Genomic DNA, 24,762 nt, shown 5'->3' on the forward strand with positions numbered 1-24,762 from the left:
GTCTTTAAAATCTAACAACATAGGTTTTGTGAATGACACAGTTCTCTATAAAAGTATTGTAGCTTTGGAGTTATCCCCATACTCCTGGTTATTACACAACTGTGTAACCCATGGCTTTTCTGAACTTTAATCTCCAGCCTCCTTACACAGGTGCATAAGATGGCTCCAGTACTTCATAAACTAAAGCAAGGGCGAATTAAGATATGGCCTGATGCTCTCTAGGGAGATGTTCTAAGGAGGGATAAAGAAGACTGGGCATGGCGAACTGTAGCCCACCCAGAGTGCTGAATCTGTGACAGTGAAATAAACCTACACTTCAGAAAGTGCTCTGAGAACCTAACATAACTCATCCCTCTATCCTTTGTAAGTAGCAACCTGGAAGGCAGCATCAGGCAGAGTTTTTTAATTAGACAGCTATGTATTTTGTCAGAAAATTTACTAAGCAGTTGGCTAAAAGAATGATTATCTCGAGCTGCACTAACTCTGATTAGTATCCATTAAACATCTATGGTTTTGGAGAAACCTCAAAGATAGCCAGCTATGTGCCAAAGAACAGACCAATGGCTATCAATACCACAAAGTTAGCACAAATATAAACCGCATAGTTTGTAGGAAAAGTTTATTTAATGGGGAGACTAAGACGATGCAAGATGGTTACTAGAAAAACATCTTTCAGTCTGGATAAATACACAACAAAGGATCATAGCTGAAATACCAGTGACCATCACAATAGGAAAGGTGGTCAGCTTGTGGAATTTTCCTTTTGGTAACCTTAAGAAGTCATTTTAGCAGTACTAACCATACAGTATATGTCAGGCACTGTAATAAACTCTTTACAAGTGGTACTTCATTTAGTCTTCACGACACTGAGGTATACTATTAAATGTCCCCATTTTACAAGTAAAAAAATTGAGGTTAGAGAGGCCACAGAAGGTACCTGAGGTTTGGGAAGTGTAGAACCAGGATTTAAATCTGGAACTCCTAGGCAAAAAAAAGTGTTTTAACAATCACAATATACAGCTTTACATTAGTAAAATTTTGAATTTGTTTTTGTTCATTGTTCACTATGCATGTTTTAAAATGTGAGGGTTATAGCTTATCTGTTAGGACAAACTCTCTAACTTCTAATTGATGGCTAGCCAAACATATCTTCAAAAAATAACTATTATAATTATACCTTAGTTTTCAACAACCAAAACAACATATCCAAAAAAAACTAAATTCCTTAACAGATCATTTATTAGTAAATCTTCAATAACTAGCACTAATCTTTGCCCAAATGAGGTAAGGCCTCCATTTCTGATTGGAATAATTAATTCCTTGGCCCACAAGAAATCTTAGGCTATTAAAGGTAAAAATCATGTTTGTCTTGAGTTTCTTAATAGTAATGGGCTTTTTATGTAGTAGATACTCAAAAGTCAACTGAGTCAACTAGGTAAAGCTGAGCAGGATAAGGCTTTATTCCCAATTTGCTTTCATAGCTCTGAATATAAGAAAATGACTCCAAAATAAACATTCTGTGGTTCTATTAAGCTGTTTTCAACTTTACATTATAAAAATGCTTAAAAGTTGAGAGATTATACAAAATGAATACCTGAATTCAAAGATATATCTAAAATGCAAAGCAAGGGTATTTAAATATTTGAATGTCAGGTAACTTTTGAGGGAAGAGGAATTGGCATTTTCTAGCTTCTATATATTTAAGCCAATTTATTAGATAATTACAGGTCTTGCAAATAGCTAGTAGAGTTAATTTGGCAAAGGTGAAAGGGAATCTGCTGTCTTTATCAATCTTGGAAAAGTCTGTACTATATTCCCTCTGGTAGAACATAATTAGGGATGCAAGTAATCCTGTTTGGTGACTATGGGGTGATATTGCCATCTAGTGGCCATTTTTCGCTGCAAGTGATCCCCTTTTCCGACTTATGCGGCAATGAAGAGACAATAATCAGGTGCATACACTTAAGCACTCATCTTTACATCTCACTGAATTATAAAGTCCTTGAGGAAGGGACCATGGCTATGTATTTTCTTTCCTGCATTAGGTATTTGTTAACCTTGAGGTGAGAACATGTTCCGGACCCACTTATATAATAAGCATATGAGAAAGAACATTTCATTCCTCATTCTACTCCACCTTCCCCAACCCCTAACTCTTCTGCTACTCAGGCCTGCTTACAAGCTGCCAACTGTAAAAATTGTGGTAGACTATCTCAAGTAAGTTTCCATTCTCATGACCACATTACCAATGTAAGTGGCACAAAACAGATTATTAATCAATTAATTAAGCAAATTGTGCATCACTGGCTTATCTTTACTTCCAAAGGCTTATCTTTACTTCTAAAGAAAAATAAGACAGTGAAGTCCTCCAGTTGCCAAATAAAATGCAACCAAATTGTCAGCAGAATTTCAGAATCATTATGATTCTAATAGCCATGTTTTATTGAATGCTTAAGAATGTGCTAAACATTGTTCTAATTGCTTTATGTGCATTGTAGCATATCATCCTCAACAAACAGAAAACAACAAAAATGTTATTTAGATTTTTAAAAATATGCAAATGTCTCTAATAAAGTTACGTAACTGTAGTTACCCAAATTACTTTGAAAAAAATGGACTGCTTTGGCAGGTAATTATTCTTTGCAAGACACATACTGAATGACCAAATTTATAGATGAAAGAGGGTTTATTTATTAATATATGATAGCCTTGGCTCAAAAAAGACAAATGAGGGCTCAAAAAGGAATTACAGTAACTTTAAAAAATATATTAAACATATCCAAGATCCTAAATATATTATTCTCCCCAAAAGCTGGCTGCTTCCAAACTTGATTTGATATTTTGCATGTTTTCCCTACGTTGCTTGGTAAATATATTTGCTTCTCCTTTCTGCAATCGACGTCTGACAGCTGATTTTTGCTGTTTTGTCAACTGACGTTTCACCTTCTGTTTCACCAGTTCCTGGAAAGATTTCATAAATTAGTATTACTGATAATGAACCATTTCAAAAAGTACACTGCTAATATCTGTTCTATTTATATATTGACACCATGAATTTTAAGATTCCAAACACTGACAGTACTATATAGAAACTGTTATATAGGAGAAATTAAATTCCAAACAGAAATACAGATTATATAGCAAAAAATATAGTGTATAGGCAGAATTTTTAAAAAATTACCATAGTGCCACCTAGTGTCCATCATGAAAACTGATGGAAAAAACAAGATGAAACTGCTTGTTCCTCTGCTTTTTAGGTTAAAAGTAGGCTTTTAGAGTAGATTTTGTATAGAAAATTATTTTTGAAAGCATTCAGTATTGCTGAATATATCCAAGAATGCCTTCACAGTTTCAGCTGTAGAATTGACCTGATGGTAGCAATCACCCATGGAAAAGTCTTCATATGTCTTTTGATCATAAATTCAAGTTACTTATCAGTTAAGATACACTGTGCAAGTCACATGACTTACAAGATGAATAAGAAATGTGAAATACTCAGTTCACAATGACCTTTTCTTTCTCTGAAGCACTACAGTCTGTTATTTAATAACTGTATATAACCTTGTATCATTCAACTTTTCTCCTAAAAAAGAAGATAGCTGCAAAACTCTGCAAAGCCAGGAACAAGGGTCTTCTTTTTTTTTTTGAGACAGGGTCTTGCTGTGTTGCCCAGGTTGGAGTGCAGTGGCAGGAACACAGTTCACGGTGGCTGCAACCTCCTGGGCTTGAGTGATCTTTCTGCCTCAGTCTCCTGAGTAGCTGGGAATACAGGTGTATACCACTACACCTGGCTAACTTTTAAATTTTTTGTAGACAGGGGTCTTGCTATGTTGCCCAGGCTGGCCTGAAACTCTTGGGCTCAAGCGATCCTTCCACCTTGGCCCCCAAAGTGCTGGGATCACAGGTCTGAGCCACTATGCCCGGCCAAATTTGTACTTATATCCAAGTACAAATGGCTGGGCGCAGTGGCTCACGCCTGAAATCCCAGCACTTTGGGAGGCTGAGGTGGGTGGATCACCTGAGGTCAGGAGTTCGAGACCAGCCTGGCCAACATGGTGAAACCTTGTCTCTACTAAAAATACAAAAATTAGCCAGCCATGGTGGTAGGCGCCTGTAATCCAAGCTACTCGGGAAGCTGAGGCAGGAGAATTGCTTGAACCCAGGAGGCGGAGGTTGCAGTGGGCTGAGATCATGCCACTGCACTCTAGCCTGGATGACCTCCGGCCTGGATGACAAGAGCAAAACTCCATCTCAAAAAAAAAACAAAAACAAAAACAAACAACAACAACAAAATTTTATACCATTAACATGTACGTCCAAGTGTCTGAGGCTTACACACCTTATAATCCTCACAGTGACCAAGCTCATTAATCTTCAGCTCATATGAAGAATGACTCATCCACCTCAAACCTGATCAATTTATCAAGTGACCTACATTAATTTTTTGAAACTCATCAGTTTGTATTCTAAGAAAAAATTACTTGAAATTTAGTCAACAGGCTGCCTAAAATCAGGACAATTGAAAAAGAAGGTGTTTTGAGTTTTACCAACAAAAAGTCATTTGGCCTTCATTTTACACATAATGGTGGCAGGACACAACTCTACCACATCCTTTGAGCAACATTCATTTATTAAAATCAAAGAAAGTACTGGTTTCAAGACAAGTCAAAAAGCAATCAACAGAAGTCTGTACCTGAAAGGCATACATTATTGTTTAATGAGACAAGGCAATCAGATCACAGTAGTGATGTAATAAACATTCAGTACATGTTGAATGACTACTTACTGGAGGAATTGTTGAACAGCTTACAGCACTGCCTGAAGAAGTGATACTCAGAGTTCTTGTTCTATACTGATTCATAGCTCCCACATTTTCTTCATCTCTAAAATTAAAAAACCCACAATTTATCTAGTTAATTTGTATAATGTAATGAATCCCATTTGATTAATTTATATTATTTTTTGCATGCAGCAAAACTGAAGACATAAAATACTTCAGAAAGATCATTATATTTTAAAATTTCTGTGAAGATAAAACTACCTACTGTTAAGTTCTATACATTAACAATTTTCATTTTCCAGCATTTTGTTAGTCACTATCAAAATTTAAAAACAGTAGAATGCTTAAGCCATTGAAATTTATCACCTCCCCACAATTCATCTTCCCTTTTCTAATAATCCTCTCCTCTTCTTTCACTGAACTATATAAATCTGTCTCTCCCTATCTAAATTTTTGAGACTCTTTCCACCTTCACAAACAGAAGATATAATGGAAACAGACAGTACTCATTATAGTCAGCTCCACTAGGGTAGGAAAATCTGCAACCTAGAGACTAATGTTTTTCACATGGCTCAAAGTTTCAATATATGCAATGTATAAAAACTCGGACGATATTAACTCCTAACAGTTAATATTTTTCAGCAACATCTGCTGTTCTGCTTTTACTTTGAATGGAAGTTTTGCCCAGCATGTATCCAGAGTGGGAACAAAATTATTGTTCCCATTCTGAGTTTAAAAGACCATTTAATCCTATATAGATTTTCTTCTATCACTGTGATGGTTAATTTTATATGTTAACTTGACTGGGCCTCAGGGTGCCATATATTTGGTTAAACATTAACTTGGGTGTGTCTTTGAGGGCGTTTCTGAATCAATAAACTGAGTATAGCAGATTGCCCTCCCCAGTGTGGGTGGACCTCATCCAATCCATTGAAGGCCTGATGAGAACAAAAAGGCAAAGTAAGAGAGAACTGTCTTTGAACTGGGACATGGGTCCTCTCCTTTCTTTGGATGTGGACTGGAACTTATGCTATTGTCTCTTCTGGTTCTTAGCTCTTTGGATTTGGACTGGAACTGTACCATGGGCTCTCCTTGGTCTCTAGCTTGTTGACTACAGATCCTGGGACTTCTCAGCCTCCATAACCCCATGGGCTAATTCCTTAAAATAAATCTCCTATTTATTCTGTTTCTTTGAAGAATCCAGTCTAATACAATCACTTACTCAAAATCCTGAGCCTCTGTCACCCCTCTTTTCCTTTTAAGCTTCTGATTTAATTTTCCAAGTTTATTATTTAAATGGCAGTAGCCCTGTGACACAGATACACAGCTATATGAAAAAGGAACAAAATTCTCATGTTTTGCTTCAGGAATAAAACTTTAAAGATAAAGGTAGGCTTAAGATATAAGCCCAAACATGTACTGAAAAATGTTTAATAAATGTATTGCTGAACTAATTTTAATTGTCATATTACTATTTTGAAATAAATAAAACCAATATTTCATTTAACTACAATTTGATTCTGAATAAGCAATCCCAAATCCAAAAATTAAGTTTTAGAACTTTTCCTAATCTAAGCTGAGCCTGATTAATATTTACAAAAAAAAATTATTAAAAGAAAACATAATATCATTAGATAATTTTAACTACACATGAACAAAGGATAGAAGGCTCAAGGTACTAGAGAAAATTCACTGCAGATGTTTCATATAGAAAGTACATTTATTGCATGTTTTAATATTTACATGCCTTTACATAACTCAAACACACATCAGATGTGTAATTAGGAAAATATATGAGGAATAACTCATCCATCTAAAACCTGATCAATGTATCCAGAGACCTGCAATAATTTTAAAATCATCAGTTTGTATATATATATATATTTTTGAGACGGAGTTTTTTGCTCGTCACCCAGGCTGGAGTGCAGTGGTACGATCTTTGGCTTACTGCAACCTCTGCCTCCCAGGTTCAAGTGATTCTCCTGCCTCAGTCTCCCAAGTAGCTGGGATTACAAGCACAGGCCACCATGCCCGGTTAATTTTTATATTTTTAGTAGAGACAGGGTTTTGCCATGTTGGCCTGGCTGGTCTCAAACTCCTGACCTCAGGTGATTTGCCTGCCTTGGCCTCCCAGAAGTGCTGAGATTACAGGCATGAGCGAGCCACTGTGCCCAGCCATCAGTTTGTATTTTAAGGCAGAATTACTTGAAATTTAGTCAATAGGCTGCCTAGAATCAGGTCAATTGAAAAGGAAGCTATTTTGAGTTTTTAACAACAAAAAATTATTTGGCTTTCATTTTATACATCAAGGTGGCAGAATACAATTTTGTCACATCATTTGAAAAAAACATTCTTTTACTAGAATCTAACAAAGTATCAGTCTCAAGACTAAAGTTAAAAAGCAATCGACAGAAGTCTATACCTGAAAGGCCTGAATTCTCTATTTAATGACGACAAGGCAATTAGATGAGGGCATTCATCTTCATACTCGTCAGAGCCAGCAGGGACTCCTCCTTGAACTCTCTGACCATCTTGCCTGTTGTAATTTTCAGTTCTGTTTTTCTCCTCAGAAAATTCAGTTACAGAGTTGTTTTCAACAACCTGCCCTTTTATTTCTTCTAAAGCTTGATTGAATTCAGTCATTTCAAAACTCCGTGCATCAGCACTCTCTTCTGATAAACTGTCTTCCTTTATTTGTTCAGGGTCTCCAGATGATCTGCAATAGCAGCCCTCTGATTCTTCTAGACAGTTCCGTTCACTTTCATTTTCTGACCCGTAAACCTCTGCTTTTTCTGCCACTTCTCCATCTGAAAATGAGAATTCAGATCCCTCTTTTGTTTCAATATTTTTATCATCTGGACCTAATGGATGAAGCAGTTCATCATCTGCCTGCATTTCCTTTGTGTAGCCACTGGCAGAAACCTCCACATCAAGAGTGTCTTCTCTCCTAGAAAAAAAAGGCGTCAAGCATAGAAAGAGAGAAAAAATGTTTATCTAAGAGGAGCAAATATCTACTACTCTGATAAATTATGATTCAAGTGAGTTTAATAGCTTATATGTTAAAAATAAATTTTCCTTCCCTAAAATGTAATATTTAAATGACACAGGTAAACAAATATGAAAGGTATATGCTGGCTGTCATTTTAAGAATAAAATAACTGAAAAGCAACAATATAAATAAAAAGGTTATAAAAACCTCAGCTTATGTTTATTAACTTTGTAAATTAACTTTCAAAGGGGGCTAAGGATTTCCTTCAGATTATGTGACTCATCCCAGATCAGAAAATATCTTAAGTGTATAAAATAAATATGAGAAAACTGAGCTTTGAGAATGCACATGATAGTTATGTTTTGAGAATCAATTAAAGATACCTCCTGGTCCTTGATAAAGGAAAAACACAAATTTCAATGAATGTTTGGTGTTATTCCTTATGAATGAGTTACTCAAATAGCATCCAAAATAGAATAAAAGTTCTTGAATTTATAAGAATCTAGATATGTCCGCTTCCTAAAATTCAGTAACAGTGCCTTAATGGACCAAATGCAGGTATTTTCAAGTTTTTAAGTTTCAGTTATGTACTACAGAGCAATGACATCTAACAGTGATTACGTGTCAAAATTTGGAAAGTTTTTTAGATGAAAATGTTAATTTTTAGAAATACACAGACCAGATATTTAAACTGTTCTATTATGTAAAGCAATGGGGAGTACAAACCTGATATCCTTAAAAGTTGGAAAAAGCTCACTTTCGTAGCTGAAACGTTTCATAAAGAAATCTTTAATGCATTTAACATCTCTGTCAAAATACCTGCAAAAGCAAGAATCATTTATGATATAGTCTTTATTGCTCCTCTTTTTCCTTATTAGCCAATGACAATATACTTATTGGTTAATGGTATTGCTCCTCCTTACACAAGGAGATAAAAGATGTTACACAAAAGAAAAAAGATACAAATGAGTTAACCAGTGTGTTTGAAAAACTAAAATCCAAGGAAATCTCAAGGATATAAGCTGTCAATGCCATGCAGTTCCTACGGTTAGGAAAGTCAAGGTTTTGTCATAGTTACTGGTATATAGTTAGATACACTAGGGAAAGATGAATGTGAACCCCAGGAAATAAGATAATGGGCCTATGGTTTGGGGATAGGTTTCCACTTATTCTGTTCGTCCTGAGTCTGGCTATGCTTCTTATCAGCAACACTCACTAGAACCCCTAGCCAACTGAAAGATCTGACGATAAAAAGATATTAATATTAAACAGTTAAGTTTGGAGACTACTGAATTATGTTTATGTATCTTTGTTATCCATTAGCCGATTTGCAATAACACCCAAAGGGATAAATAATGCTACAGCCTATAAAAATAATCTGAGGACATGTTAATCTGGACCAAAAGTAGAACAATATCTGAATATCAGGCTGCCTTTTTGGGCCACCACAAAGCAGCAAAAATGGATTCAATTCTCTAGAAGATTTCCAGACAAGGGAGAATTAAGGACAGGATAATGTGCAATTGACTCTCTTTGAGAAAGATGAAGTTTGGAAATAGGAAGATAATGCCTCTCCTCTTTGCTCACAGGGTACTCTGGGAAAAATACTAATACATTTTAAAAAGACTATTTTATATATGTTTACATCTCCCTACGAGACAGTAACATTTTCTAAAGCATATATAGGGGTTATTTATATCTCAATCTCTAGCAATTAGCACAGCTCCTTGGCCCCAGAACTGGTTCATAAAAATTGAAATTAAATCACAATGTCTCTCCATAGAACGATGCAGCCTAAACCTAGAATGTCATAATCTGTCACACTCTGGAGGCTCCTAGATGTTCCTTTACTGTGTGACTATGTTACTCCTTATTAATAAAAATCATGATTAGTCATCATCCAAAGAGTACTGACCACCCCAGTGCCAGGCATTAATCTTTTAGTATTATTTTGTTGAAAACGTTTTAAAAATTTATTTTCAAATGACATTTCTTTCTGTAGCATAAGTATAGACATTTTCTACTGGAAACCAGGATGAAGAGACGCTTCACTTAACAAAACTACTTCAAGCTCAATCTCTGGAAGAATTAATATACTCTATTATATAAGTGATACTAGTTGTTAGTTTAGGAAAAAAGTTTCTCATAAAGCTTGGAACAGAAAGAAAAAAAAATCCTTAGTTACACTCAATTGAATCATAAACCTCAAGCAAATAAAGGATAAGGTCCTGTTTCATGACTTGGCTGGCTTGGTTTAAATAAGTAATGTGAAGAATATGATTATCGCAGTATATCATGATTCTGCACTGTGTCAGAGATAAAGTTTTATGTGATTTTTTTTCTAATAAATAAAGCTAAAAGTGACAAGAGGTAATTATCACTGGTTTGACAACTGAGTCCAGTCCAAAACCACAACTTTTATTCAGATCATCGAGATTACTGAGTTATACTTGGTGAATCTCTCTTGGAGGCAATCATGGAACAGCAAGAAAAAGGGAAAGACAAAAGTGGTTCTAGAGTTCCCCACTACACTCCCTACTTTTACCTGTTTTAACAATTGGTCTTCCATCTAAAAGTCTGTTTGAACAAAGGGTTCCATGGCTAAGAAAATTTGACTTTTGAACGTCTGTCAATTTACAACAGAGAAATTCAAATTCTTATGGGGAAAACTCTAGTAGTTATACTTTAATAAAAAACCAAATTTTTATAACGTTAACACTAGCCACTTCAAACCAGTGACTGACCTAAATAATAGTATCACAAAATTGAAAAATTATGAAAAAATGATTATATTCTAAACAAACACACCCACATCCAGAATCAATAATAGCATGTAAGGGCCGGGCGCAATGGCTCACCCCTGTAATCCCAGCACTTTGGGAGGCCGAGGCGGGTGGATCACCTGAGGTCAGGAGTTCAAGACCAGCCTGACCAACATGGAGAAACCCCATCTCTACTAAAAAAAAAAATACAAAAAATTAGCCAGGTGTGGTGGCACATGTCTGTTATCCCAGCTCCTCGGGAGGCTGAGGCAGGAGCATTGCTTGAACCCGGGAGGTGGAAGTTGCAGTGAGCCGAGATCGCGCCATTGCACTCCAGCTTGGGCAACAAGCAAAACTCCGTCTCCAAAAAAATAAAATAAAATAAAAATAAAAAAATAGCAAGTACGTACCACTCAGCATTGGGATGAGAAGTTGAAACCATCTGTGGAAAATCAATCATGGTGATATGGTCACTTTCATCCAAAATGAGATTAAATTCATTAAAATCTCCATGAATCAGCCCATGATTTGCAAGTTTGACAATTAGTTCCATAGCTTCATCATATACTGATGCAGGATCTTCAACATGGTGTATCTGACATCTGAAAGTATTTTAAGCATGAAAATAGGTTACTTGTGTTCATTTACGGTTTTAACGAAAGTATGTATGCATGTGAACATATATATTATTTCCATGCTGTGTATCCCCAGCAGCTTTCTTCTCATTCCCATCAGCACACAGATATAATATCTCCCATCTATTAAAAAAATAGCCACACTGCTTCAATTCTGTATCTCTTTTCTACTACTACCTTTCTTTGATCTTTACAGCCAAACTTGTCTACATGTGCTTTTCCAATTTGTTTCCTCCTACTCTCTCATACCATTTCAAACAGGCTTTTTATAACGTTAACACTAGCCACTTCAAACCAGTGAGTGACCTAAATAATAGTATCACAAAATTGAAAAATTATGAAAAAATGATTATATTCTAAACAAACACACCCACATCCAGAATCAATAATAGCATGTACGGGCCAGGCGCAATGGCTCACCCCTGTAATCCTAGCACTTTGGGAGGCCAAAGTGCTTCCAAGATCACCCTTGTTGAGACTACAATGACTTCAATGTTGCTAAATCCAAAGGTCAATTCTTAGTCCTCATCATATGTGGTCTGTCAGTTGACCTCTTTGAACATTTTCTTCACTTAACTCTTGGGACACCATTCTCTCCAGGTGTTCTTCCTTCCTCACAGATCATACCTTCTTAGTCTTTTCTATTTGTACTTCATCTTTTTCCTTGACCTCTAAATTCTGGAGTTCCTCAAAGGTCAATCCTATGACCTTTTATTTTCTCTTATTTAGACTCATTCTTGGTGATCTCATCTAGGTTAATGGTTTAAATACCACATATACACTGATTTTAATGTAGACTTCTCTAACTCCCAGGCATCTCAAACTTAGCATGTCCAAAATGGAATCTCTGATTCTGTCCCACCCTCCAACTCCAAAATGCTGTTCCTGTAGCTTTCCTGTTTCTATACATGGTAGATTTCTCCTTCCAGTTAATTTGCTACTCAGGGGAAAAACCTTGGTGTCACCATTGACTCATCCCTTCCTTCACATCCATATCCAATCTCAAATCATGTTGGTTCAACCTGCAGAACACATTCAGAATCTGACCACTTTTCATCACCTTCACAACTATCACTGTAATCAGAATTACAACCATTTCTTGCCTAGATTATTGTAATAGCCTCTTAACTTGTCTTCCTAATTCTTTGTCTCCCCAGAGTCTATTAATTCAGCAAGCAGAGTGACCCTCTGAAAACACTGAGATCACTGATTGATGAGATCACATCTCTTCTCTGCTCAAAATACTCCCACTCCAATAGCTGCTAATCTGAATCAAAATTTGATGAGGTTTCACCTTATTAGTGAGACTTTTCTTGACCACCCTACATAAAACAGTAGTCTCCTGTCCCGTTAGTACTTCCTATCTCCCTTACTCTGCTTTTTTTTATCCATAGTACTTACTAACAATTGATATACATTTCCTTTAGTTATTTATTGCACATCTCCTTCCATCAGAATGTAAATTCCATGAGGGCAGGGACTTTGTTTTGTTCACTGCTGAGATTAAAAGTTCCTGGCACCTAACAGTCTCTTAATATTGAATGAATGAATGAATCACAGAGATTACAAAGTTCATATTGTCAGAATGAAACTGGGTTTTTAATTTGTCTTTGAGTCTATTCCTTTAAATAAATTTTAACCTCCCAGAGGCAATATTTCATTAACTAAAAAAAATTTTATTAAAAACCCTGAAACTTAAATTCATTTATCAGGATTCATGGCTTTAAGAATAATGAATACTTACAGTGGATAACCATTTATGAGTTCCATGACCACTGCATGACGATTGTAATCAATTGGCTTTGGAACTGGAAATTTCCTCTCATACAATGCCTAAAATGTTGCAAAACAGGTGTAAGCTAATGAACAGGTCATTACTCTTTAAAGAACAATAAAAGTAAATATACCTTTCTACAACCAGAAAAAAAACACACAAACCTTTATAAAATTGTAGTTAACACATGGTTATTTATGCATAGCTTATTTATTCACTGCGTAGAATTAGCCACACATAAAAAGCAAATTTTAAACAAAAGTTTGAATTCACTTTTCCACAAAAAATGAACATTTACAAAATGTTATGCACTGTGCTGGGGTTACAAAAATGAATGTTAAAAAGTTTCTAAACACTCTAAAATTAGTGTCAAAAAGCCCCCAAGAAGCTTACAGTCTCTTAGGGTATATCCTTTCCTATTTTGTAAGTCTCTGACATTTGTTGAAATGTGCTCAAAATATTTAAATTGGAAACAAATTTAGGAAATACTCATCTTCGGACATATTAGGAAATGAGGCATTCTAAGAGATCAGACATTTTGGTTTATAGGGCACTGAACTTTTTCTCCAGGCCACAATATGCAATATAAATCTATTATGTGAAAAATATACACTGTTGTAGTCTGATTCAAGTGTTAAGACTCTCCATACATCTTTTCCCCTAAGCTTACTGTCTTCAATCTTACTGTTTACAAAGCCCTGTTATTACTTTCTTTAAAATACCTTAGATTTATGCCCTTTGACATTTAGAATGCTAGTATTAGGAATGGCAAAAACTGCAATTACTTTTGCACCAACATATACTTGTAAGGAGGCATATACCTCATTACTCCACAAGTGTTCTAGCTCTTGCCATCATACCTAACCTATTCTATGTACCAATACCAGACTAACCTGCTGATGTTAATATTCCATTTAAAAATATATACATTGGGATGGGCATGGAGTCTCACGTCTGTAACCCCAGCAATTTGGGAGGCCGAGGCGGGTGGATCAGTTGAGGTCAGGAGTTCGACACCAGCCTGCCAGCATGGTGAAACCCCATCTCTACTAAAAATACAAAAAAATTAGCCAGGCGTGGTGGCACATGCCTGTAGTCCCAGCTACCTGGGAGGCTGAGGCAGGAGAATCGCGTGAACCCGGGAGGCAGAGGTTGCAGTGAGTTGATATCGTGCCACTGCATTCTAGCCTGGGTGATAGAGCAAGACTACACCTCAAAAAAAGTTTTTTTTTACATTGGCTGTAAATTTTCTTTTCAGTTTGTAAATATAAACTTTTCCTGGTTTTCAAAACTCTTTAATCCACCTGTACAGTCCTAGTTCTCCCAATATTCTCTCCAATACACACCAAGAAACGCAGTCAGGACAGTCACCTCAGTGTCACCTAAACACATAGGACTCACATAGATTCATGTCATTGCCCATACCACTTCTCTGCCAAAATGCACTGTCTTAGGGTCAAATAATATCCAAGCTTCATGGCTCCACTCAGCTCCACTCACTACCTGAAACCTCCTCCATCAACTATTCTATCACTTACTGAAGTTTCTCTAAATTCAGTATATAATTAAAAAAAAAATTGTTCTTAGACTTGCAGTGGTGGCTCACGCTTATAACCCCGGTACTTTGGGAGGCCGAGGTGGGTGAATCTCTTGAGGCCAGGGGTTTGAGAGCAGCCTGGGCAACACAGCAAGGTCCTGTCTCTACAAAGCAGGCATGGTAGCACATGCCTGTGATCCTAGATACTTGGGAGGCTGAGGTGGGAGGATGGCTTGAGCCCAGGAGGTAGGGGCTGCAGTGAGCCGTGATCGTGCCACTGCACTCCAGCCTGGGTGACAGAGTGAGACCTTGTCTTGAAAATAAATAAATAAATAAATAAATAAATAAAAGGTTCTGTTTCATGTGTTATCTTCTCAACTTTAAGACACAGATCGTACTGGTTATTTCTTTGGCATCCACTCCTTCACCCTACACTACCCCAGCAATTAATTTCAAAAGGTTGTCTATTGCTTACCTTCTGTGAACAAGAACCAAACCACTTCCCACTTCCCAGATATTTTTCTTTGCTTTGTTTTTAAATACTTTTTTTCAGTGTAGACCATTTTGAGCATACCTAGACAGATCAATAGCACGTGATAAACTTAAAGATTGTGAATATTTGTCTAGAACTTGTGCTATCGCCTAGACCTCATGCTATAGCCCAATCTTTATCTTCTTGTTCCTCTCTTATGAATAATCAATACATTAAGGAGTGCATTTATGTGCAACCAGATTCCATTCCTATACCTTCAATATAAATATCCTGAAAAACACCTACTACCCTTTTGGGAAAATGTGTAAATGATCCCTACCAAGCTGCTCATTTACTGACTGAATATTACAAGATACAAACTATTAGTATAAGAAGTACATTGACATGTATGGTATCAGTATTACTAATTTATGCTGCCTTAAGAAATCTCCCATGATTAGTGAAAATTTAAGTATATAACCCACTCAAAGAACAAGCTGAATCCTCAAGAAACAGGTGTTCACACACTGTAGCAATCTTTAATTCACATTGTTTTGAAAAATGAAGATAAACTATGACAAATCCTACTGGCAGGATTATAAAAACACAATATTATCTTTTGTTTAACTTAGTTATTGTTGGATATATTTAATTTGGATATTATTATATTTAACAATCTATGCTGAACTTAATTTTGAAGGCAAAGTTAAAAATAAAGGATTTTTTTTTTTAATGTCAGGGGACAGTATAAATGTAGTCCGCCAGTGCCACAAAATATGCAGTCAAGTTCCAATATTTGGGGAAACTGCAGGGGTCAGCACACCTGAAGTGCAATGAATAGGCCTAACCCTGAGAAAACCGTCTTTGAGATTTTGACATTTCATCTGCCAGGTTAAGCATTTTTTTCTATTTGTATAAATGTATGAGGTACATGTAACATTTTGTTAAGTATATATGAGAAGTCATCAAGTCAGGGTATTTAGTGTGTTCATCTCCTGAGTACAATACATTTTGTTTACTATAGTCACCCTACTCTGCTATCAAACATTGAATGTATTCCTTCTAATTGTATGTTTGTATCCTTTAACCCACTTCTCTTCATCCTTACCTCTTAAAAACTAAAGATTTTTACCATTTTTGTTTTTTGAGACAGAGTCTTGCTCTGTTGCCCAGGCTTGAGTGCAGTGGCACAATCTTCACTCACTGCAACCTCTGCTTCCTGGGTTCAAGTGATTTTCCTGCTTCAGTCTCCCAAGTAGCTGGGATTACAGGTGGCCACCACCATCCCCGGCTAATTCTTGTATTTTTAGTAGGGATGGGGTTTCACCTTGTTGGTCAGGCTGGGCTCCTTACCTCAAGTAATCCGCCCACCTCGGCTTCCCAAAGTGCTGGTATTATAGGCATGAACCACTGCACCCAGCCAATTTTTACCATTTTTAATATACATATAAATCTATAAATGTTTGTTCCTTTATGTGAAACAAAAAACTAGCCAACTTATCTGAGACACTAAGGTTTCTACAGATGATAATTACCTGGTGTTTTCAATTAGAAACAGACATATGTATAGTTACATATATTGAATAGATATATATACATCCACACATACATATTTGTGAGGTAACAGCATCATTAATTACTTTTGGCTCTTTCATCTTGTCAGCATTACAGAATGTGTTGCCCTTATGCATTAGTAACAATTTAAAATACCTTAACGTAGAAGGAAATCACTTAAAAGAGCCCAAATAATCAACAGAGTTATTTAAGATTGAGTCTGTCTGTAGGAATTGAGTCTAAGGTTAGAGAGATGTGGGGACAACAGAATCACACTTGTCATTAAGGCCTTTGAGACACATGTATTATTTGGCTAAAAAATGCATGACTACAAAATAAAATAAATACCTTCATATAGGCAAATTCCTTCATGGCAGAGAGACGAGATAAATATAGCCATGACACATTGTGCCTATGTTTATGATAATCGCGTTTGTTTTTCAAATTTCGAAACGAGGTTCTTCCTAGTCTGTGAAGCTTTAATGCAAATTGTTGTCCTTCTTCATTTGCAACAATGTAAATATCTAGAGACAAAATTTCAAAAACAACCATTATTACACGTTTATTCCAATCAGTTAAAACAATTCTAACTTTCTCTAATTTTATTTGTATCAAAAATGTCATTTTTCCTAATAAAGATTGAGTATCCCTCCTTATCCAAAACCTTCGGACCAGAAGTGTTTTGAATTTTGGATTCTGGTATATTTGCACATAAATAATGATATATCTTGGGAGTTATTAGAAGAAAATTAATTCCTGGTATAAATGAATTTTCAGTGATAGACGTTCAGAGAAAATAATAACCTACTAATTAAGGACACCTTCTGATTTGTACTGCTTCCAATCAACTTTCCAACTTACTGTTTAGTTAGAAAAAAGGGAAAATTAAAAGAGGAAAGGTTTCTGAAGGGAAAACATAAACTAAAGCAAAGAAAATACTTTGCACAGTACTATTAGCACTTACCTGATTCTTTGCCAACACCCATCTGGTTTCCAACAGACTCAACTACTTGCCTAGAAGAAAGTGTTTTCAAAGCTAGGTAATCATATCCTGCATTTGTCAACCGATAGCCCTGGACAGCTAGACAAAAATCAAAGCATAAAGACCATATTTCAGTTACATTGTACAACCAAGTCACGTAAGTTCAAGTCATAAGAAAGATTTAACAATAAAGTCTTCATTGGAAAAAGATAAACTGCCCAGGCTCACAAGCTTCCAATTTCTTCCTATAATTTGCATTTCTTCTCCAGTGTACTGATAATCAAAATGTGACCTACAGACAGGTCTGTAAGTGTTTGTGACAAGATAAAAGGAGGAATTTAAGTTCAATTTGTATATCAATTTGACCTAGAATTTATGTCTGTTTTTGTATATCTGTTATCCATTTCATTTTTCTAGTAATTATTTTTTTGTATTTTATAAAAGTAAGGATCTGTGATAGGTTGGAAAAAACTAATCCTTCACCACAGATGGTTTCAGAAGTAATGATCTAGGGTATGACTACTGATTGTATTTTCCAAAGATGGTAGCCACAATAGCTTTATCCTATATGCTCTTCTGCAGTACCTACATGCTCTTCATGCTCTTCTACAGTACCTACATGCTCTTCTGCAGTACCTACATGCTCTTCATGCTCTTCTACAGTACCTACATGCTTTTCTGCAGTACCTACTTGCTCTTCTGCAGTACCTACATGCTCTTCTGCAGTACCTACATGCTCTTCTGCAGTGCTCTACCTGCTCTTCTGCAGTACTCTACCTGCTCTTATGCAGTACCTACGTGCTCTTCTGCAGTACCTACGTGCTCTTCTGTACTCTACATGCTCTTCTGCAGTACTCTATGTGCTCTTCTGCAGTACCTACGTGCTCTTCTGTACTCTACATGCTCTTCTGCAGTACTCTACCTGCTCTTCTGCAGTACTCTACCTGCTCTTCTGCAGTACCTACGTGCTCTTCTGCAGTACCTACGTGCTCTTCTGCAGTACTCTACATGCTCTTCTGCAGTACTCTACATGCTCTTCTGCAGTACTCTACGTGCTCTTCTGCAGTACCTACATGCTCTTCTGCAGTACCTACATGTTCTTACTACTATTCTTTTTTCACCTCCTTTGATCTGGGTGTGCCCTGTGATTATTTTGACTAATAGGATATGGCCGAAGTGTGTTCTGTCAGTTCTTCGTCTAATGCTTTACTAGTCTGGCAACTTCTACTTCTTGACTTTTGGAACACTTGCTCTGGTGGAAACCAATTACCTGAAAAATCACAAATGGTGCCTCAAAATACTTACTTTTGGTACGCTCCCAAGCTATGAGTTTATGTTTCACTAATTCTCTTAAAACTTTATTACAGCCACCATGTTTAAGGCTGGCTATAGAAGCAATCAAACTGCCGGGAACAATTTCATGGTTCTTCATGCCCATTTCAACCTGAAATTAAAGGAATCATTATATAATCATAATCAACACAAAGCCTTGTCTATCAAAACCCTGCGAAATTAACTTCTCCTTGAAGCTTTCCTGACTATGCAGTTCTCCAACTAATTCTGAGACATAATCACTTCCGTCTCTTGAAAATATTTTTAATTGCAATTTGAAATCTAATCATTGATATTTGTATTGGCTTTCCATTTCAAGAGTAGGAACTGTGAGTGCTAGACATACTGATGACATTTGGTCAATGCTAAAATACTTGATGACACCTAAACATTTGTCTTTAAAAACTACAGATATGCCAGATATTTATTAAGCAGGTATTTAATGAGAAAGTACTACATGTAGGCATCGTAGAGGATATATATATATATATGAATGATAGACTGGATAAAGAAAATGTGGCACATATACACCATGGAATACTATGCAGCCATAAAAAAGGATGAGTTCATGCCTTTTGCAGGGACATGGGTGAAGCTGGAAACCATCATTCTCAGAAAACTAACACAAGAGCAGAAAACCAAACACCACATTTTCTCACTCATAAGTGGGAGTTGAACAGTAAGAATACGTGGACACAGAAAGGGGAACATCACACACTGGGGCCTGTCGGGGGGTGGGGGGCTAGGGGAGGGATAGCATTAGGAGAAATACCTAATGTAGATGGGATGGGTTGATGGGTACAGCAAACCACTATAGCATGTGTATACCTATGTAACAAACCTGCACGTTCTGCACATGTACCCCAGAACTTAAAAGTATTTTATATATATATATAATATATATATATAAAATATATATATATTATATATATATAATATATATATAATATATATATTATATATATATTTTTAAATTTATTCCTCAGAGGTAAAAAGCACATATATATATATCTCTATCCTACATGCTCTTCTGCATGTGTATATGTATATATATATATATGTATATATATATATATATATGTGCTTTTTACCTCTGAGAAATTTTTATCTCATGATGGAAATTTTAAAAAATGGTATACATCTAAGTTTATTAGAAGTTAAGAAGTGATAAGTGCTTAAAAAGGTAGCTCAGGGCAGAATAAGAATACTTCTAGCTGAGGGATCAGTTCCAAGGAAGATGCAAAACTAGAGACTGACTTTTAAAAGATGTGGGCATACAGAGAAAACAGACAAGGGGATATTAGTGAAAGAAAAAGATTTGAAAATGGCACATATGCAAGAAAGTACTGACCACAGAGAATAGCTGAGTACAGTAGCAGCTCAGATGGGATAGCATATAGAATTCATGCAAACGCGGCTGGAAGATACTTCTAGGATAGAGAAGGCATTAAAATGTAGACCAAATACTTTTATATTTTATCCTGATGAGAGCAGGAAGCTCTTGAAGATGTTTAGGCGTGGGAGACACACGAACAGGGTTATTTTAAGGACATTAATGTACCAGGAATATGCAAATTGGCTTAGAGATGGCAAAATCTGAGGGGGTACTCCGGAGAACTAAGACAGAAGTCCAGCTCAGAGGAAAGAGCCACCAGAACAGGGTAAGTGGTAGTGGTACTGGAAGGAAGGAATAAAAATCTTTAGGAAGTATTATGGGAGAGCTTGGCAATTAGATGTGGAAGGGTAAAGGGAACGGAAAGCCACAATTGGAAGTGATGAGGAAAAGCAAGTTTTAAGATTTTATTATTTTTTTTTTTTATAGAGCTTGGGAAAAGAGAAAGGGGGTAGAAAAAAATTGAATTTGGTTTGAGCACTGAGAGTCAAATAAAAATGTTTAAAGGAAAACTGGAGGCCAGGTGCAGTGGCTCACACCTGTAATCCCAGCACTTTGGGAGGCCAAGGTGGGTGGATCACGAGGTCAAGAGATCGAGACCATTCTGGCCAACATGGTGAAACCCCATCTCTACTAAAAATACAAAAATTAGCTGGGCGTGGTGGTGTGCGCCTATAGTCCCAGCTACTTGGGAGGCTGAGGCAGGAGAATCGCTTGAACCCAGAAGGTGAAGGTTGCAGTGAGCTGAGATTGTGCCACTGCACTCCAGCCTGGCAACAGAATAAGACTCCGTCTCAAAAAAAAAAAAAAAAGAAAGAGAGAAAATTAAATAGGAAAGGGGCCTATATTTAGGAATGAAGTTATAATTAGAAGGAAAAATTGTCAATTATTTTATAGAAGTGAGAGTTGAAGATGTGAAGTGGATGCTATCACTGAGCAGGAGATAATGGAAGAAAAGGAATGTTTGGGAGCAGAATTCTGGGGCAAGTTCATATTGAAAGCTAAGGGCAGCTAGTCAAACAATGATTATTGATATAGGAGGAGCCAAAGAAGTAAAAGGGAAGAGAGGCCCAAGAAAGGGTACCAACACTGGTGAGATTCAACTGAGACCGGAATGTCATATTTAATGACTAAGTCATTTCTTGGTGAACTTTACAAATAATTTAAATATTGCAGCGCCAATGTTTTGGAAGATAAATCTGGCATCATTTTGATGTCTCACCAAAACCTTAACTTTTAAATTTAACTTATTTTCCATGCTTTGTCTCTGCCTCCCCCGTCCTCTAACACTCTTACTTTTGACCCCTACTTCTGTCAGAGACACTAAGGAATGAGTGTGCTGAGAAAGCAGGAAAGGAAGGTATCTTTCCGAAGTGATAGTAGGTTTTCATAGAGAAAGTCCAGCTGATTAGAAGAATCTACATGAGAGGCAAAGTAAACATTGTCTTCCAAATTTCACACTGATTTTGCATTTGATAGTTTAATACTTAAGCGCTATTTAAGATTAATTTTAAAAATCCAAAACTTGAAGCCTTAACATAATGCAAGAACCAGTGTGACTCACATCGCATATCCTATTACATAATTACACAATATAGGTAGTCCTTATCATGGGGTTCACTCCTTACCAAAAGATAACGGCTCCTAAATAAATGTACAAATGTCTTGATCTATATATTAATTTCTGTGCCATAAGACTGAGGCCATAAAATCAGATTTTGTTACTCCCCTGATTAAAAACATTTAGTGGTTACCCCCACATTCTTTACCAAACCTCCAAGGCTCTGTAGTACATAATTTCTCACCTTTTCCGCTACATCTCCAACCATTAGTGTGCATCTCACTTTGCTCCAGCCACATTACATTGGCCTTTCCTCTCTTCAAAGACTTTTCTGTCTCAAGGCCTTTGCACTTACTACTGCTGTTTCCTCTGCCTCCAACTCTTTCCAAGGACTTCACTGGGCTGTCTCTTTCTCACACAGCTCCTATTATTCCCCCATTCATTCTTTCATTTAGTGAATATTTATTGATTGTCTACCAAAGGCCAATAACTTGTGCCCCTCCTCTCCACCAGATACATATACTTTCTATGCCATTATCCTTTATCATTTTCATAGCATTTATCCATTATCCTATTTTTCGTTTACTTGATGATCTGTGTCTCTCTCTCCACTTGTCTGTTTGAACAAGTGAACCTCCTAATGTTGCTACTAAAAAACCGACAAATATGTGTTGACTGAATGAATCAGAAAGACTGCTATGCGACTGAGTCTGTTAGTAGGGAAGTCAATATTATCAAATCTCGGGGGGGGGGGGGGGCTTAAACCTTTCACAGCTGGTCGGAAGCTCAGGATCAGAGAAGTTTCCAGGCCACAGAGATGCAAGCGTTTCTCTTCAGCGCAAAGCGAATAGCAGCAGAAAAGAAAACAATTATTAGAAGACGGGACCTTTGCTCTATCTGGGGGAAGGTAAGCTCCCAAACAAAACCTTTTTAAAAATCCGACTTTCTGAATGCTCTCTTCTCCATTCCCAGCTTCTGCCACGTCCCGGGTCCCAGAGTGTGCCTGCTCAGATCCCAGAAAACTTGCAGGAACAGGAAGAGGTCACACAGTGTTAAGGGGAAGGGAGAACAGGAACGGCGGGTTTCTTACCGCGGTCAAGACCCTGAAGTCATCTCGGCTCATGTAACGCAACTTGGCCACATTCACTTTCCCCATGGCGGCCCCAGTCCGAACCCAGATGCCTCTCCGACGACAGCCGCAAAGCGTAAGGCAGGTCGTTATTCCAGCCTCTAAGCGCTTTACAGCGCCAGATGGCTCGCGCACGCGCTGCGTCTTAGTATAGGTCCTTGTTAATAGTTAGAAGTGCTGTTCTCATTGATATAGGAAAATAAAACTACTTGTATGTCTTATGAAACACATAGTATGTAACAAGTGAACGTTTTATTTTTGTGTAATTTTTGCGTTGTGACTGAGTTGGCGGAGTGTAGATATTCTCTACAATGTGCCTTTTTTTTTCCATATCTGTCAGGACTTGCTGCCTCAATGACACGTTCCGCCTCAGAGAGCAAAGTGGTTACTTAATGGGAGGAGCAAATTTTTCCCGCAAACAACTTCTACTCTAGGCAAAGTGACTTCCAACAAGACAGGGGTAAAAGAACCTGAGCTAGAGTCCAGACAACCAAATCTGTTAAAGGTAAAGTGGACTGTAATCACACAAGCACGCCCTCTACTCCTAATTGCGCCTGCTCCGGCAGCTCCGGAGGGCGTGGTTAATGGAACTCATGCGCTTGCTCAGTACTTCTCTTAGGTTGGTCTAGGAGGCTTCGAAGTGCGCCTGCGCTGGTTGGGGTGGGAGTTTAAGGTGACACGTGGAGAGCGCGGCGGACGTCCTTACCTCCAGAGGAAGTGGGGATTTTGATAGTTCGGGCTGACCTACGCGGGTAGGACTTCGAGGGCCCAGGAGCGATTTAAGGATTTTAGAATAGTTACCCATACTGGCTCTGCAACTCCTCGATATTCAAGCCTTTGTCTGCTTTTTACTTGAATGCAGCATGTCTTTGATTAACCATCTTCAACCAATGAACATCTCCATTTAAACGGAATTTTTCTTTCTGTACTTACATAAGAAGGCATAGAAATGAATTTTTTTTTTATTTTTGAGACAGAGCCCGGCTCTGTCACCCAGACTGAAGTACAGGGGCGCGATCTTGGCTCACTGCAACCTCTGCCCTCTAGGTTCAAGGGATTCTTCTCCCTCAGCCTCCTAAGTAGCTGGGATTATAGGCTCACACCACCACGCCCTGCTAATATTTTTATTTTTAGTAGAGATGGGGTTTCGCCCTGTTGACCAGACTGGTTTCAAACTCCTGGCCTCAGGTGATCCGCCCCCCTCAGTCTCCCAAAGTGCTGGGATTACAGGCATAAGCCACCGCGCCTGGGCGAAAAGTTTTTAAAAAAACCAAGTGACTAACTTTATTTGTACAAATTTATGGGGTACGTGAGAAATTTTGTTACAAGTATTTAGGGTGTCTGTCATCCAAATACAATATATTTTTGTGTAACTATAGTTACCCTACTCTACTATCAAGCAGTGAATATATTCCTTCTATCTGACTCCATGTTTGTAACCTTTAACCTACTCTCTTCATCCTGTTCCCACTCCCCTCATCTTTCCCAGTCTGTTATCTGTCTTTCCACTCTCTACCTTAATGTGATCAAATTTTTTAGCTTCCACATATAAGTAAGAGCGTGTGATATTTGTCTTTTTGTTCCTGGCTTATTTCCCTTAAGATAATGACCTCCAGCTCCATCCACGTTACTGCAAATGGCAAGATTTCATTTTTTATGTCTGAATAGTACTCCATTGTGTATATATACCACATTTTCTTTATCCATTCATCTGTTGATGGACACTTAGGTTGATTCCATAGCTTTGCTATTGTGAATAGTGCTGCGATAAACATGCAAGTGTAGGTATCCCTTTGATATACTGATTTCTTTCCTCTGGGTAGATACCCAATAGTGGGATTGCTGGATTGAATAATTCTATT

The 24,762-nt window shown here is 37.2% G+C and overlaps 1 protein-coding gene and 1 pseudogene across 3 annotated transcripts; both read right to left on the reverse strand.

Moving 5' to 3' along the window:
* Positions 1–602: 602 nt before the first annotated feature.
* On the reverse strand, positions 603–22,983 carry RIOK2 (RIO kinase 2). 3 transcript variants are annotated; one of them, NM_018343.3, is made up of 10 exons: positions 22,862–22,983; positions 18,791–18,929; positions 17,468–17,584; positions 16,852–17,027; positions 12,911–12,999; positions 10,942–11,133; positions 8,496–8,588; positions 7,203–7,727; positions 4,787–4,883; positions 603–2,961 (listed from the first exon to the last, which is right to left on the reverse strand). In NM_018343.3, exons 1-10 carry the CDS (start codon positions 22,925–22,927, stop codon positions 2,797–2,799), a joined length of 1,659 nt encoding a protein of 552 aa, NP_060813.2. In that variant the 5' UTR covers positions 22,928–22,983; the 3' UTR covers positions 603–2,796. The 3 variants fall into 3 exon arrangements, with proteins under 3 accessions (NP_060813.2, XP_016865117.1, NP_001153221.1); XM_017009628.2 differs by lacking the exons at positions 17,468–17,584; positions 18,791–18,929; positions 22,862–22,983 and adding an exon at positions 14,953–15,051 and having other exon boundaries at positions 16,852–16,929; NM_001159749.2 differs by lacking the exons at positions 603–2,961; positions 4,787–4,883 and having other exon boundaries at positions 6,482–7,727.
* RNU1-73P (RNA, U1 small nuclear 73, pseudogene) lies at positions 15,686–15,849 on the reverse strand (annotated as a pseudogene).
* Positions 22,984–24,762: the final 1,779 nt, after the last annotated feature.

This window comes from Homo sapiens, chromosome 5 (genome assembly GCF_000001405.40).
Source record: "Homo sapiens chromosome 5, GRCh38.p14 Primary Assembly".
Lineage (NCBI taxonomy): Eukaryota > Metazoa > Chordata > Mammalia > Primates > Hominidae > Homo > Homo sapiens.